The sequence below is a fragment of the Homo sapiens genome, chromosome 15 (assembly GCF_000001405.40).
Source record: "Homo sapiens chromosome 15, GRCh38.p14 Primary Assembly".
Classification (NCBI taxonomy): Eukaryota; Metazoa; Chordata; class Mammalia; order Primates; family Hominidae; genus Homo; species Homo sapiens.
The window spans coordinates 50094366-50110822 of NC_000015.10; the positions used below are offsets into that span (position 1 = coordinate 50094366).

A 16457-nucleotide genomic window follows, 5' to 3' on the forward strand; every position below is an offset into this window, starting at 1 on the left:
GACTGAAATCATGCCACTGGGTCTCCTGGGTCTCCAGTTTGCCAACTGCAAATCAGGACTTTTCAGCATCAATAATCATATGAGGCAAATCCATATAGCATTTATACATAATATAAATGAATATATATAAATGCATACATATATCCATATACGTATATATTTGGACACATACATACATGTATATATACACCTATATACAAATATAGGTGTATATACACATATATACAAATATACACATATATACGTATATACACATATACGTGTATATATATTTTTATATTATTATATATTGTATATTATATATCCATATATATTTGTATATATGTGTGTGTGTATATATATACTACTATATATATATATATACACACACACATATACATTCCGTTTTACTAGAGAATCCTGACTAATTCAATGACTCTACATCAACTTAATAAATACAGAAACATAACACCTGACTCAAGACCCTTTCATGGTTTTTCTGCCTTCACTGCGAGCTCAGTGAGCCATAAGTACAAATTCCCAAAAGCTGCTAATACAATCTTAATGGAAGCCAAATTCCAGATCAGCAGAATCTGGTACCACTCCATTCCAAGTTAAGTCAGACTACATCTTGAAAACTGGGTTCAACCGAACCCAGTTGTAAGCAATATAGAAGCCACTGGAGAAGCCAAGAGCATCAAAACGTTTTGTGACCATGATGTATTCATTCAAACATCTACTCAGTAGATGTCCAGGTTCTAGAACAAAGTGACACACACCATACTACATGTTGCAGGGTCAAAAATGAGAAAGATAGCAGCCCTTCCCTGGTGAAGCTCATATTATAGGTAAGATACTGAGAGTCTAAAAACTATGAACCATGTCATATATTAGAGGAAATTTGCAGGTGTCCACCCAAAAAATCAGAGACTGAAAGAGAGAGAGAATATTAGCAAAAGAAAGAGAGCATGTGGCAAAATGAGAGAGATCTTCAAATATTTGATTGTTTTTAAGGTAGATGGCAGAATAAATACTCTGTTATTCCAAAATTCAGAACAGAAAGTAAACTTTACAAGGATCTGAAATTCTGTTAACATACGGTTGAATTTACTGTCAAAACAGATAATGAGGTTGAACGCAGTGGCTCACACCTGTAATTGTTAACACTTTAGGAGGCCCAGGGTGAAAGATTACTTCAGGCCAGGCCTTCAAGACAAACCTGAACAGTATAGTGAGACCCTATCTTTACAAAAAATTAAAAAACTAGCCAGGTGTGGTGGCACAGTTGTAGATGTGGCTACTTGGGAGGCTGAAGTGGGAGGATCATTTGAGCCCAAGAGTTTGAGGCTGTAGTGAGCTATGATCACCACTGCACTCCAGCCTGGGTGACACAGTGAGACCCTGTTTCTAAAAAAAAAAAGAAAAGAAAGAGAATTAGACATCTCCCAAATTAGATATCTGAGCTACTTGTCAGAGCAATATTCAAGGAAAATATTCATCAGCGCTATAGTAACAGATTTTCAAAGTAGAAATAAAGCTGGAAAAACTGACTTCGAAGATTCTTCTAATTCCCAGGTTTTCTTATTCTGTGCAATCTAAAGCGATATTGATAAAACTATTAGATCGAAATCAGCAACAGTTGGAAATAACGTATAATGTTTAGGAAAGATTTCACAATAAACACCATAGTTTTAAAAGTTATCTCCATAGAGATGAACAGAAACCAAAATAGAGGAGGAGTTCTCTGAGGAACAAAGTGAACAGACAGAAAAGTGCAGAAGACTGAGCCAGGGGGAAATTCCACCACTGGGGTGCAATGAAGGAGACGGAGGCAGAGCAGCCTGAGAAGCAAGAAGAATCTGCATGAGGGTCATGAAATCCAAGAAAAAAAGAGTTTTTGTGGAGAGAATAGCCGCTCTCCCCTAATTCCACAGAGAGGTGAGGGAAGGGTGGTGGAGAGGAACACTCCCTGGGGCTTCTCTTTAGGAAGTCCTCTGTGACTGGTGGTTTGTGACAGCATCCTAACCTAGCCCATATCCTGAGTAATAAAACAGACTGCTCTATGTGAATAAAGTTAAAGCAGCACACAAACTTAGGAAGGGTTTGAAAGGCAGAAGACATCTCTTACCTGTACTTCTATTTATATCTCTGCACTACGACTATGGGAGGAGATTTAAAAATATATAGTGTATCCTGTCCGAGAAAAAAAACTTCTATTCCAAAGTGACTTAAATACAGGGTAAATTCTAGACCGCACCTAGGACTAAGGACTGCAATGCTGCCTCCCTGTCACTCCCAATCATAAAAGCTGATGAACCTATGAATGGAAGGTTTATGCCCTGCAATATTTATAACAAGCAGCAAAGATTCAGTCTCTACAATAATTTCAAGCATCTTTTTGCACAGAATTTTAGTATAGTGAAATGGAAGATATTAAGTCTTTCTCTCTCATCTCTAGTGGAACCAAAGATGATTTCCCATGCCTTTCCTCTCTGGACACCAAAAAGTTATTAAAACATAGAAGAGAACTCATGAGGAAACAGAACCCCAAAGTTATGAGAGGGCTTTTGTGAAGCCAGCACTGTCTTATGTATGTCACTCGCTGGCCAGCACCACGTGGTACTTCATTTCAACAGCCTCATTCAATCAAACTAAGAAAATAGATGACTTTTTAAAACATGATCCAATTTAAAATAAATTATTATGGTAGATGAAATGCAAATTCAAACAAAAACTAATTCCTTCAAAAGATCAACTGAAAATCTACTTGAGAAAACAGCTTTTGGATTTATCATTCCATAAGAGATAAACCCAATAAGAAATAACACTCTTTAAACATATAAATTAATACAAATAAAAATACTTTTATATGCCTTGATAAGGTACCTATAAGGATAGGTTCCATATCTTATTCATCTTTTTTATCACCCTCTATCAAAGGACAAGCACATTACCTGTTAAATAATATATGCTCAAAGCAATGTTTATGGTGTTATGTAATCTAATTATACAAAAAAAAAATACAGACTTTATTCCCCAACTGCAGAACAAAAACAATACTTTCCAAAATGCTGTTGGCATTGAACCTCCATGACCCCTAGGTCCTATTACGGCCTGTTAGTTTGTTAAACAGATGTGATAATGAAACATTTATTGTAAGAGAAGTCGTTGTAAATGCCTGAGAAGCAGGTATATAAACTTCAACCAAAGCAACTGACCACTGTCATTTGCACCACACTGGCAGGCCTCTAGAGAGTCACCATAAGTAAACAACCCTTTTGAAAGAGTCCCAGAGGGTACAGAAGAGGCTTCCAGGATGTCCTCTTGGAAATCAGATCCCTATACAAGTCACCTCAGTAAATAGGAAACCCACCTGTGTATATAATGCTCATGTCAGCCATAAAACTGGACAACACTATTTTTGTAAAACTTAGAAATTAGGAGTTTTCAGGAGAAAAACCTAGAAATCAATGAACTGTATCATATATCTATGAATTCAGTACTAACATTTACATACTGCTTTTATAATTTATGAGTTACTTCACATATATTTCATTTTACGTTCATGCTCACAGTAACCTTCAGAGGTAAACATTAGTCCCATTTTACAAATGCGAAAATTGAGGCTCAGAGGATTTGAATACAAATGCCTGGTAAGTAGAACCAGGTTCATTCCTATCACTTCTGACTCATGTTGTTTCTGTCATGCAACAATTGTGTTCACAAAGGACAATTACAGAATATTAACAGAGCCTTGTAAACCATCACTCTGGGCAAACCCAGTAAATTCTTATGCTATTGATCTGTTATGTCACAGCCATCTAAATTGAAATAGTATGTGTAAGCTGCCAAGAAAAAATTAAAGATTTTGGTTGTGTCATGAAAATACATGAGTACCATACAGTTCTGTATTGTCAGGTGATTTTTTTTTTTTTTTTTTTTTTTTTTTTTTTTTTTTTTTTTTTTAGATAGGGTCTCACTCTGTCACACAGGCTGGAGTACAATGGCACAATCATAGCTCACTGCAACCTTGACCTCCTGGGCTCAAGCTATCCTCCGAGCTCAGTCTCCTGAGTAGTACAGAACCATGCCACCATGCCCAGCTAATTTTTAATTTTTTGCAGAGACAAGGTATTGCTATGTGGCCCAGGCTGGTCTCAAACTCCTGGCCTCAAGTGATCCTCCCACCTCAGCCTCCCAAAGCACTAGGATAACAGGCATGAGCCACCAAGCCCAGTCTACCACATGGTTTTTAACTTATAGTGGCAATAATAACTTGAAAGGACTACTCCCACTAAAAGCATATTTAACTACTTTCTATATGTAGATTCACAAAAATAAGCATAAGAAGCTGTCTCCCTCTCTCCTCCCCAAGATATACAGAGTTGCTCTCTGGAAGGCTATTTCACCCCAGTATGCATATCTGATTCAGGGCTGACTTATCCATGAGGCATAGTAGGCAGAGTGCCTAGGGCCCATGATATTTTCAAGAGCCCACAAAACTGTTTCAATTTTCATTTATTTCAAAATCAGAGGAAAAATGAATATAATAGTAATGGATACATAATAATGAATCTAACCTGGATTATATTTGTCTTTATACTGACATATTCATCAAACATAATTTTTCATGTGTTTTTATGGAGGAAGGGACCCACAAAGGCAAAAGTGCCTAGAGCCCACAGAAGACATACACAGCCCCGGTCTGATTCATCCTACCCTACACCCCATAAACATACTAAGGCAGTAATGTGTTCTGGCTCCACAACCCCCACATTTTGGAATAAAGAACAGCTAAGCTGGTTTAAAGAAGGCCTCTAATTATGTACTTCTTTTGCTTCCCATATTTCTAAACTAATGAGATCTGAATTAGGTATTTTACCCATAAACAACCTTCTTCCTGATTGCGGAAAAGCATGTGTACAATTTTTTTTCTTTTCTTTTCTTTTTTTAGAGACTAGGTCCCAGTCTGTCACTCAGGCAGGAGTGCAGTAGCACAATCAGAGCTCACTGAAGCCTCAATCTCCTGGGTCCATGTGATCCTCCCACCTCAGTCCCCCAAGGAGCTGGAACTACAGGCACGTGCCACCATGCCCGGCTACTTTTTAAATTTTTGGTAGAGACAGGGGTCTCACTGCGTGGCCCACTCTGGTCTAAAACTCCTGACCTCAAGCGATCCTCCTACCTCAGCCTCCTGAAGTGCTGAGATTGCAGGTGTGAGCCACTGCACCCTGTCACTTGTACACTTCAAAACAATTTGTCTTTGGGCCTCTCATACAAGCTATAAGGAAAGAGTGAATTTCAAAGAACAAACAGAAAATAGACTGTAATCATAAATAGACTGTAATCATAATGTTTTAAACATTTGAGTCAAGGGGCTAGACCTTTTTACATCTTAAAGAATGCAAGACATGCCAGGCGCGGTGGCTCACGCCTGTAATCCCAGCACTTTGGGAGGCCGAGGCGGGCAGATCACCTGAGGTCAGGAGTTCAAGACCAACCTCAACATGGAGAAACCCCATCTCTACTAAAAATACAAAATTAGCCAGGCGTAGTGGTGCATGCCTGTAATCCCAGCTACTTGGGAGGCTGAGGCAGGAGAATTGCTTGAATCTGGGAGGCGGAGGTTGCGGTGAGCTGAGATCACACCACTGCACTCCAGCCTGGGCAACAAGAGCAAAACTCCATCTCAAAAAAAAAAAAAAAAAAAGAATGCAAGACATCTGAATATGGAGATAATAAAGAATAAAGCATATCTGGGAGAAAATTGTTATTTCCCCACAAGACCCATGGCTGGCTTGTCAAATTTTCACACACATCATCAATGTCCTATGCTTCCCAATGATGTTGTGAAAGTGCATAGAAATGTAAGGGCAACTTTATTAAAGGCTGCAGACGTGAACTTTCTCACTGAGATAAAATATCATCTCTGCATGATTTTTCCCTCTGACAACTCCAGGCTGATTAGATCTCCAGTCTGTGCCCCTCTGGCAAAGATACCACTTGTAGGTAAATATACCACTTGTAGGCAAATATACCACTTATAGTGATGTTTAATAAACTATTTTAAGTTATCCTTGCTACCATCAACTTAAAAATTGTATTAGAATACATATATTTTATTGAATTATAAAAAGCCATTTGAAGTCAAGGTTGGTGCTACCTCACAAATTATAAGGACTCAAAAATGTTTGTGGAGTGACTAAATAAATGAATGCATGTTTTAGGTTAAAATAAAAAGCTCTCCAGACTATTGCCAGATCTACAGAAACTGATGTCATCTAAAGATGTGTCAGTCCCACTCATGATGATACAAATGATGGTGATCATTTTATCACATCAGTCTTGCAGGTCATGGGCCATTGTAACAAGTCCAAGAAGAAGTGACTGGCCTCAGCTTTCTCTGCCAGTCACTGTCAGGAAGCGAATGCAGACACAGTTACACAGCCAAAACTTAGACTCACTATATAGCAATTAGCATTTGTCTGTAAAATGAAGTTCTGTGTGAGGAGGATTAACAAGTTCCATTCCTCATCAAAAAACTGTCAATTAACTAATTAATGTGTCAATTAACTAATTAATAAAAAAACAATTATGTACACAGTATTTGTGCCAAAAATGTTTAACCCAAATTACTTTAGAAGAAATTAAACCATGCTAGAATATTCAATAAAATGGTTAGACTAGACATTCCCAAAATTCAAAATAATGAAAAATTATTTTAAATTTAAAAGAAAATAAAGGAATTAGCCAAATTCAGTTTACGAACATTGATTGGATACTGTACCAAAAATTAAAACCAATTCCAAGAGATGAGATGTACTGGGGACTACTGAGGAAAGTGAAAAATGGGATATATGCCATTTATCAATGTTACATTTCTCAGGTATGGTGATGATAATGTGGGTATGCAGGAGAATGTCCTTGTTCTTAGGGGATGTGTGCTGAAGTATTTGGGGTAAGTGTCATGATGTCTACAACATTTGACAAAAACAACAGAAACCTGTGTGTCATAAAGACTCACATAAACTTAAGGTAATGGGGTGGAAAAAGATATTCTATGCACATGGACAACAAAAGCAAGCAGAAGTAGCTATTCTCATAACAGACAAAAGAAACCTTAAAGCAACAGCAGTTAAAAAAGACAAAGAGGGAAATTATATAATGATAAAAGGACTAGTCCAAAAGGAGATTATCACAATGTTAAATATATATGCACCTAACACTTGAGCTCCCAAATTTATAAAACAATTACTACTAGACCTAAGAAACAAGATAGACAGCAACACAATAATAGTGGGAGACTTTAGTACTCTACTAACAGCACTAGACGGGTCATCAAGACAGAAAGTCAACAAGGAAACGATGAACTTAAACTATACCCTAAAACAGATGGACTTAACAGATATTTACAGAACATTCTACCCAACAAATGCAGAATACACATTCTATTCATCAGCACATGGAATATTCTCCAAGACAGACCATATGAAAGTCCACAAAACAAGTCTCAACAAATTTAAGAAAATTGAAATTATAGCAAGTACTCTCTTAAACCACAGTGGAATAAAATTGGAAATCAACTCCAAAAGGAACCCTTAAAACCATGCAAATAAATGGAAATTAAATAACCTGCTCCTGAATGATCATTGGGTCAACAATGAAATCAAGATGGAAATTTAGAAATTCTTCAAACTGAACAATAATAGTGACACAACCTAACAAAACCTCTGGGATACAGCAAAAGCGGTGCTAAGAGGAAACTTCATAGCATTAAATGCCTACATCAAAAAGTCTGAAAGAGCACAAATAGACAATCTAAGGTCACATCTCAAGGAACTAGAGAAACAAGAACAAACCAAACCCAAGCCCAGCAGAAGAAAAGAAATAACCAAGATCAGAGCACACTAAATGAATTTGAAACAAAAAAAAACCACACAAAAGACAAATGAAACAAAAAGCTGAATCTTTGAAAAGGTAAATAAAATTGATAGACCATTAGTGAGATTAACCAAGAAAAGAAGAGAGAAGATCCAAATAAGCTCAATTAGAAATGAAACAGGAGATATTACAACCAATACCACAGAAATACAAAAGATCATTCAAGGCCACTATGAACACCTTTACATCCATAAACTGGAAAACCTAAAGGAGATGAATAAATTCCTGGAAATATACAACCCTCCTAGATTAAACCGGGAACAAACAGAAACTCTGAACAGACCAATAACAAACAGTGAGATTGAAATGGTAATTTAAAAGTTGCCAACAACAAAAAAGTCCAGGATCACAAGAATTCACAAATGAATTCTATCAGACATTCAAAGAATTGGTACCAATCCTTTTGACACTATTCCACAAGATAGACAAAGAGAGAATCCTCCCTAAATCATTCTATGAAGCCAGTATCACCCTAATACCAAAACCAGGGATGGACATAACAAAAAAAAAAAAACTACAGAACAATATCCTTTATGAATATAGATGTAAAACTCCTCAACAAAATACCAGCTAACCAAATCCAACAACATATCAAAAAGATTCTCCAACATAATCAAGCGAGTTTCGTACCAGGGATGCAGGGATGGTTTAACATACACAAGTCAATAAATGTGATACACCACATAAAGAGAATTAAAAACAAAAATCACATGATCATCTCAATAGATGCAGAAAAAGTATTTGACAAAATCCAGCATCCCTTTATGATTAAAACCCTCAGCAAAATCAGCATAGAAAGAGCACACCTTAAGTTAATAAAAGCCATCTATGACAAACCCACAGCCAACATTATATTGAATAGGGAAAAGTTGAAAGCATTCCCCCTGAGAACTGGAACAAGACAAGGATGCCCATTTTCACCACTTCTATTCAACATAGTACTGGAAGTCCTAGCCAGAGCAATCAGACAAGAGAAAGAAATAAAGGGCATCCAAATCAGTAAAGAGGAAGTCAAACTGTTGCTGTTTGCTGATGACATGATCACACACCTAGAAAACCCTAAAGACTCTTCCAAAAAGCTCCTAGAAACGGTAAATGAATTCATCAGTTTCAGGATACAAAATTAATATACACAAATCAGTAGCCCTGCTATACACCAACAGCAATCAAGCTGAGAATCAAATGAAGAACTCAAACCTTTTTATCATAGCCATAAAAAAGATACTTAGGAATATACTTAACCAAGGAGGTGAAAGACCTCTACAAGGAAGACTATAAAACACTGCTGAAAGAAATCATAGATGACACAAACAAATGGAAACACATGCTCATGGATGGGTAGAATCAATATTGTAAAAATGACTATACTGCCAAAAGCAATCTACAAATTCAATGCAATTCCCATCAAAATACCAACATCATTTTTCACAGAACTAGAAAAAACAATACTAAAATTCATGTGGAACCAAAAAGAGCCCACATAGCCAAAGCAAGACTAAGCAAAAAGAACAAATCTAGAAGCATTACATTACCCGACTTCAAACTATACTATAAGGCCCTAGGCACCAAAACAGCATAATACTGGTATAAAAACAGGCATGTAGACCAATGCAACAGAATAGAGAAGCCAGAAGTAAAGCTAAATATTTACAGTCACCTGATCTTCGACAAATCAAACAAAATCATCAATGGGGGAAAGGATACCCAATTTAACAAATGGTGCTGGGATAATTGGCAAGCCACATGTGGAAGAATGAAACTGGATTCTCATCTCTCACCTTATACAAAAATCAACTCAAGATGAATCAAAGACTTAAATCTAAGAACTGAAACTATAAAAATTATAGAAGATAACATGAGAAAAACCCTTCTAGACACTGGCTTACGCAAAGATTTCATGACCAAGAACCCAAGAGCAAATGCAACAAAAACAAACATAAATAAATGGTACTTCATTAAACTAAAAAGCTTCTGCACAGCAAAAGAAATAATCAGCCAATAGACAACCCACAGTGTAGGAGAAAAATCTTCACAATCTATACATCCGACAAAAGACTAATATCCAGAATCTACAAGGAACTCAAACAAATCAGCAAGAAAAAAAACAAACGGATCCCATCAAAAAGTGGCCTAAGGACATGAATAGACAATTCTCAAAAGAGGATATACAAATGGCCAACAAATATATGAAAAAATGCTCAACATCACTAATTATCAGGGAAATGCAAATCAAAACCACAATGTGATACCACCTCCCTGCTGCAAGAAAGGCCATAATCAAAAAATAATAAATGTTGATGTAGATGTGGTAAAAAGGAAATATGTTTACACTGTTGGTGGGAATGTAATCTAGTACAACCATTATGGAAAACAGTGTGAAGATTCCCTGAAGAACTAAAAGTAGATCTACCATTTGACCCAGCAATCCCACTCCTGGGTATCTACCCAGAGGAAGAGAAGTCATTATACAAAAAAGATACTTGCACACGCATGTTTATAGCAGCACAATTCTCAATCGCAAAAAATATGGAAGCAGCCAAAATGCCCATCAATCAACGAGCAAATAAAGAAAATGTTGCATACACACACACACACACACACACCCATATATACACTATGGAATACTACTCAGCCATAAGAATGAACGAAATAATGGCATTTGCAGCAACCTGGATGGAATTGGAGACCATTATTCTAAGTGAAGTAACTCAGGAATGGAAAACCAAACATCATATGTCCTCACCCATAAGTGGGAGCTAAGCTATGAGGATGCAAAGGCATAAGAATGATACAATGGATTTTGGGGACTTGGGGGAAAGGGTGGCAGGGAGAGTGAGGGAAAAAAGACTACAAATTGGGAACAGTGTATACTGCTCAGGTGATGGGTGCACCAAATCTCAGAAATCACCACTAAAGAACTTACTCATGTAACCAAACACTACCTATTCCCCAAAAACTTACTGAAATTTGAAAAAAAAAAAAAAAAAAGACCCCACGTGTGTGTTTGTACATATGAGGGCACGTGTTTGTATAGAAAAAGAGACAGACAGTAAGGAAGCACATGTGGCAAAATAGTAATAATTGTATAATTAAGGTGAAGGGTTTCTGCGTGTTCATCATATCATTCTTTCAATTCTGTAAAATTCAACATTTTCAAAATTAAAAGTTAGGGGAAATGTAAATAAAAATAATGTTATTGAGAAATGTTTAAAGACATAAAAGATGTCTGTGATTATAATTCTAAGTTTAAAGAGGAGGTTTCAAAATAATGTACAGGATAATTCCATTTGGGGATATATATTTGGATCGATATACACAAATACATTAATAGAGGTCACTATAATTAGAGCCCTGTAAAGTTGTGCAACACAGCAACCTCAAGTAGTTATTTCTAGGTGGCATGATTACAGCGACTTATGCTTTCTTATTTTTATTTCCAAAAATTTCCTACTTTTACATATATGCATTAATATATACATATACATATGAATTACTGTTTAAGAGAATAAGACCTGGATCTCAGATCATGTCAGAACACATCAAAAGTTTGCAACACTGGGTCCTGTTGAAAACTTGTTTGTGTTAAAGTCAGTTAATCTTATCTTCACACTATTAAGATTGTATATAAATAAATCATTTTACAGGAAAAAAAATGGGTGGCAATAATTCTAGACTCCTGATTAGCATTGGGAATATGAATATATTGCCCCAGAGGGCATAATTAATGGCCTGTGGGTGGGAACCACATTGAGACAGAGTTCAGCTCATTATGAGACTAAATGTTGCAATGAATAAGTATCCAATAAGAGAATGAAGTGCATCATGATATAATTACCTGCAGAAGTAGGTTAACCACCTATCAGGGACGATATTGGAAGGAAGGACAGGGCACTATGTAAACTCTAATCCAGCCTTTAGTCTCTAAAGAGTCTATGGTCAAAAATAAAGAAAACAGCCATAATAGGTTGGACACACGTCCACTGAAGGAAAAAGTACATAATAGCCTGTCACTGACTAACTAGAGACAAAAGAGACAATCAACACTCTCTGGTGTGGACGCTATATTAAAGAAATTGGATTCAGCAAACTGAAAAGTGTTAATAATACTATTAATTACTCAACCAAATTACTCAACCTAAAAAACAAAGTGTGTTTTCTGCTATCATGATCAAAATTATTTCTAACTATACGAACTCTGTTTTAAATGTTGGTGTGTTCACACAATGGAACACTGCTTTGAAATTTAAAATGAAGAACAAACTATTAATACATGCAACTGTATAGGTATATGTCAAAAACCTTATGCTGAGCAAAAGCAGCAATACGAAAGAACACATACTGTATGATTTCATTTATATTCATTTCAAAAGTAGGTAAAACTGATCTGACAGAAATCAAAAGATGGTCACAGTGAGTGTAGAAAGAATGAACGAAAAGGAGCACAAGGGAACTTTCTGGGGTGATAGAAATCAATGTTCTATATCTTGTTTTATACACCCTTTGTAGTTACATGGGTGTATATAATCGTCGAAGTTCACTGAGCTGAACACCTAGACCTGTGTGCTTTTTATATATAAATTAAACTTCCATGAAAAAATTAAAATTATATTTTTAAAATATCACTTTGCATCATTGGAAGAACTCAAAACTTACCACGCAATTTCTTTTCACTGCAGAACATTATTATACCTGATCTTTCACCAGGTCTCAACAGGTGGCCTACCTAAGAAAAAGAAGTATGCATATTAGTATCTGAAAAATGCACAATAACTATAAATTTACCTCCTTTAACTTTCTTCCTAGACAAATCTAGGTAATTAGGAAGTCACTGACACAGGAAAGAACAACAGATTTAATTTATGAGGCTTTAGTCCAGCCAGATAAGAATAATTCTGTACAAAAATAATCTATTTGTATTTTAAAGGCCGTATGAGACAACTCAAGGTAAGCACAAATGCGCCACTCAATTTGGCATTCAAATTGAATCAAATATATCTCAAATCCTGTGAATCAGAATATCTCAGGGGTGAGGTTCCAGAATCTGCCTTTTATTTAAATGCCATAGGTGATTCTTTCACAAGCCACAGCTGAGAACCACAACTGAACTTCGAGAGCTATGTGTGACAGGAAATTATTGCCCAGGCTCTAGAGAAACAAAATGCAATCCAAAACTTTTCCTCAATTTATTCTCATGAACGTAGTCTTCTCCAGGCAGTTATTTTTTTTAAACCAGAATAATATCATTATTATATTTCATTTTTTCCCTACATGTGGTCTAATTTTCTTCACATTGTAAACTCTTAGAGATTTAGAATGATAAATGAAGGAGCAAACAAGTAATTTCAAACATTCAAAACCCAAAAGACCAAGGAAATAAATGCACCTTTGCAAACACATGACAGTGCAGGCAGAGGTACTGACCACATGCTCTTTCAGTTAGAAAAAAAATGACTGGTTTGCTTCCTGCTCAGGAAAGTGGTGTGGCAGGATGCGGCCAACACACATAAAGAAGAAGTTGGTCAGTCATATGGTGACCAGAGAAGGGGAAGAACAACACTTATGGCTTAGTAGTTACAAGAAAAGAGGTTGCAGAGGAAGTTCATCAACACGCACTGCTCCACTACAGATCCCCGAGAAGTCTAAAAAGCCTGAGACCATCATTTCTTCCTTTTCTGGCCCCTGGAGTATGCCTAACAAATAGGGTCAGTGATACTTTGCAGGACCCAGTGTTTTCTAGGGGCCAGGTTACTAAAACTTACGAATCCAAGCAAGGACATAGGGGTGTCGCTGCCGGGTGTTGCTAAAAGCAAGGCTAGGTCATCAAATATGACCCCATCAGTAACTCCCCTGTTGCTCCCTCCACATCTTCAACCAGCTGCCAGCAAGGCTGCCCAAGACCATCCCTCCTAGCCCCGCCTCTCTACTCCCCCACCCCAGCCCCAGGCAGTGGGTTATCTCCAGGACATGCCTGCTGACCAGTGCTTGCTCTCCCTCTATGTTCCTCCCTTGTTCCAGGCTTGGCCACCTGTAGACCAGTCTCCACATCAAAGCCAGAGTTATCATTATAAAGGGGAATGGCATCATGTCACACCCCTGCTAAAAACCCTGCAAACACCTCTTGTTGGCCTCAGGAAAAAAACTCTAACATGACTCCTAGGACCTTCTGCGACTTGATCCCTGCTCATCTTTCCAGCCTGTTTCCTCATCACTCTCCTTCCCTGCTCCCATGCTTCCCTGCACCGCCTCATGTCTGCACTCCAGAAATATACAACTCAGCCTCTTTCCATTTGGGGGCCTTCACACATGCTCTTCCCTCTGCCTGTAGCCATCTGTCTCCACCCCCTTTATCCGACTAGCTCCTATTCATCTGTCCAATGTCAACTCATATTTCATTTCCTTTAGGAGGCCTTCTCTGACCTCCCCAAATCAGAGATAGGAGGAGCACTTCCTGTGTGTTCCCGTAGAACCTGGCACTGCCCATGTGAGAGCCCCTATCACTCTAGAATACATTTTTCTATTATATCGGCTATTTCCCCATTATTCCACAAACTCTTTTAGGACAAGGCTCCATAGCTGTATCTCCAGCATCTAATGCCTGTCTGGCACGTAGTAATGCTCAGTAAACACTTGTTGAATGAAAAATTAATTTATATTAGAAATGGAGGAAGGGCTTCCAGATGCTAAAAGACACTTTCCTTTTAGCAACTATCCCTCCCTGGATCCCAGACCCCGGCCCCAAAATGTCCTAGATCTGCCTTCCCAAGCTGGAGTGGCTGCAGCTTTTTTGGCTGCTCCCTCCTGTTTTCTGGTCCCTATCTTCCTACACACCCTTATCTTCAGCCTGGGAAGAACCTCAAAGCATGAGCAAAACTGGGTTAGCAATAGGAAGAGTGCTGCAGGCAAATTGAAGAGCAGAAGAAAGAAGAGAAAATGAGCAAACCTGGGGAGAGGAGGCACTAGAGTTATAAAGGAAGATTCACAAAAAGGATGTTTGGTGGTAAAGACTTCCTGTCAAAAATACCACAGACAAAAGTGAGTTTTCATCCATGAAGGACTTTGTTGTTTCTTTGTTTCACAAAATACTCAAAAAACAAACAAAAAACAAAATTGTTTTTGTTTCACGAATAGTCATAGCAACAAATACAAAATGGTATTGGGCAGGTGAATGAATTCTGTGACAACGACATCTGTATCTGGTGGCCCCACTTGGCCAGAGGGTAAAGGCTCATCAGCAAGCTCTAAGCCAACTTGTCAGGGCTTGAAAATTCTCCAGTGGGACTAAGTCAACATGTTCTGTGTTCATTGGCTGAGTCCCCAGAGCAGAGGAAAGGAAGAACAATTCTTCAAGCAAGATGAAAAAAAAGGGGACTCTACACCCAAACAGCGGCAATGAGAATGCAAGCAGAAGACATTTATCTCTCAGAAAGCTAATCAAAGTACCAGGCACTTGGCAGCTTATCCTTTCTTTGTCCTTATTGGATGCTAGATTGGTGTGAGGTACTGGTACTAACAGTTAACAAACATGAACTTAATACAATTGTGTAATATAAGGTAACTAAGGAGAATATATCCATGTAACCTCTTCTCTATCTTATTTTAGATCTTCCTGCTAGCACTTCTCATTTTAAAAGTTCCTAGACATTCAAACATAAAGCAATGTCATATTCTTCCATATTCTTCCTAAAATTACTTTTAAAACATACAGCTATGTTGCTACTGTTAATTTCTCCAATACCATCTTCCAAAGTGTCTTTGAAACCTTTTATTTTGAACATACTGAATAAATCCATTTTTCAATTTTAGCCATTTTTCATTTTGTAGAAAATATTCTGTCACGGTAATTATATAATCACTATTGCATGAAATAAACAATATTTCTATAAGATTTCCAGAAGTTGTTTCTTATTAATGATCCTAGTCAAGTGTTGTCACTCTAAAACATAAAGTAACATCGAAAAAATAAGAATTGACATTCAAGTCCATGTTTCCTCAAATCCAGTCTTTTTCTAGTAGCAATGGCAATCAGGTATACTTTACGGAGGACTCATAGTAATGTAGCAGATTCTAGTTTAACTCTAGAAGCAACATTTAGTCCTGTCATTCTTGCAAATTTATCAACTCACCGAAATACCACCACTGACACTCGCTCCACCTCTAAAGGTTGTCAGAGTAAAGAAAAAGTCATCTTTCATTGAACTTTTGGAACAGTAAAGATCTAAGGAAATAGATTAAACAAAATCAGTTGAAAGAAAAAGGTTTGCTAAAGTCAAGTCTAGCTCTAGAAGCAGGAACTTAGGATTTTGAAATTTAACCCTTTACAAGTACTGAAGCAAACAATATTTACAAGAATAAGTTCTCCCTCTTAAAAACTGCCTCAAAGTAGAGGAAATGGAAAAGGGAAAGCTGCTAGATGAGTCTTATGTTACCCTTAGCTTCATCTTATGCCAGGGATTAAAATGGTAGTTTCTTCATGTGAAAATCCTAGAGGGTTGCTTTTAATAAGGGAAGTGTGAGAAAGTAGAGAGAGGAATGTAGCA

At 37.3% G+C, this 16457-nt stretch overlaps 1 protein-coding gene across 37 annotated transcripts in view, besides 1 other annotated feature; it reads right to left on the reverse strand.

Annotated features, from left to right (window-relative positions):
• The window catches only part of ATP8B4 (ATPase phospholipid transporting 8B4 (putative)), a 323617-nt gene that overhangs the window by 236128 nt on the left and 71032 nt on the right, over positions 1-16457 (reverse strand). For 23 of the 37 annotated variants that reach the window (NR_073597.2, NR_073596.2, NR_073598.2 and 20 more), the window contains one exon: positions 12574-12643. The exons of 1 other annotated variant lie outside the window; for it this stretch is intronic. Coding sequence is in view for 30 of the 36 variants with exons in the window: in XM_011522056.4 (XP_011520358.3) it covers positions 12574-12601 (28 nt within the window). In the remaining 6 variants the exon portion in view is untranslated. Of the gene's footprint in view, positions 1-12573; positions 12644-16043; positions 16136-16457 lie in introns of those variants that run through there. 13 more of the 37 variants (XR_002957687.2, XM_047433087.1, XM_047433084.1 and 10 more) reach the window with 1 other exon arrangement.
• Positions 13686-13775: an enhancer, noted in NCBI's record as "active region_9390". NCBI's record gives its function as "activates an Ori minimal core promoter by ATAC-STARR-seq in GM12878 lymphoblastoid cells {active_cell/tissue: GM12878}" and the evidence as "EXISTENCE:reporter gene assay evidence [ECO:0000049][PMID:35858748]".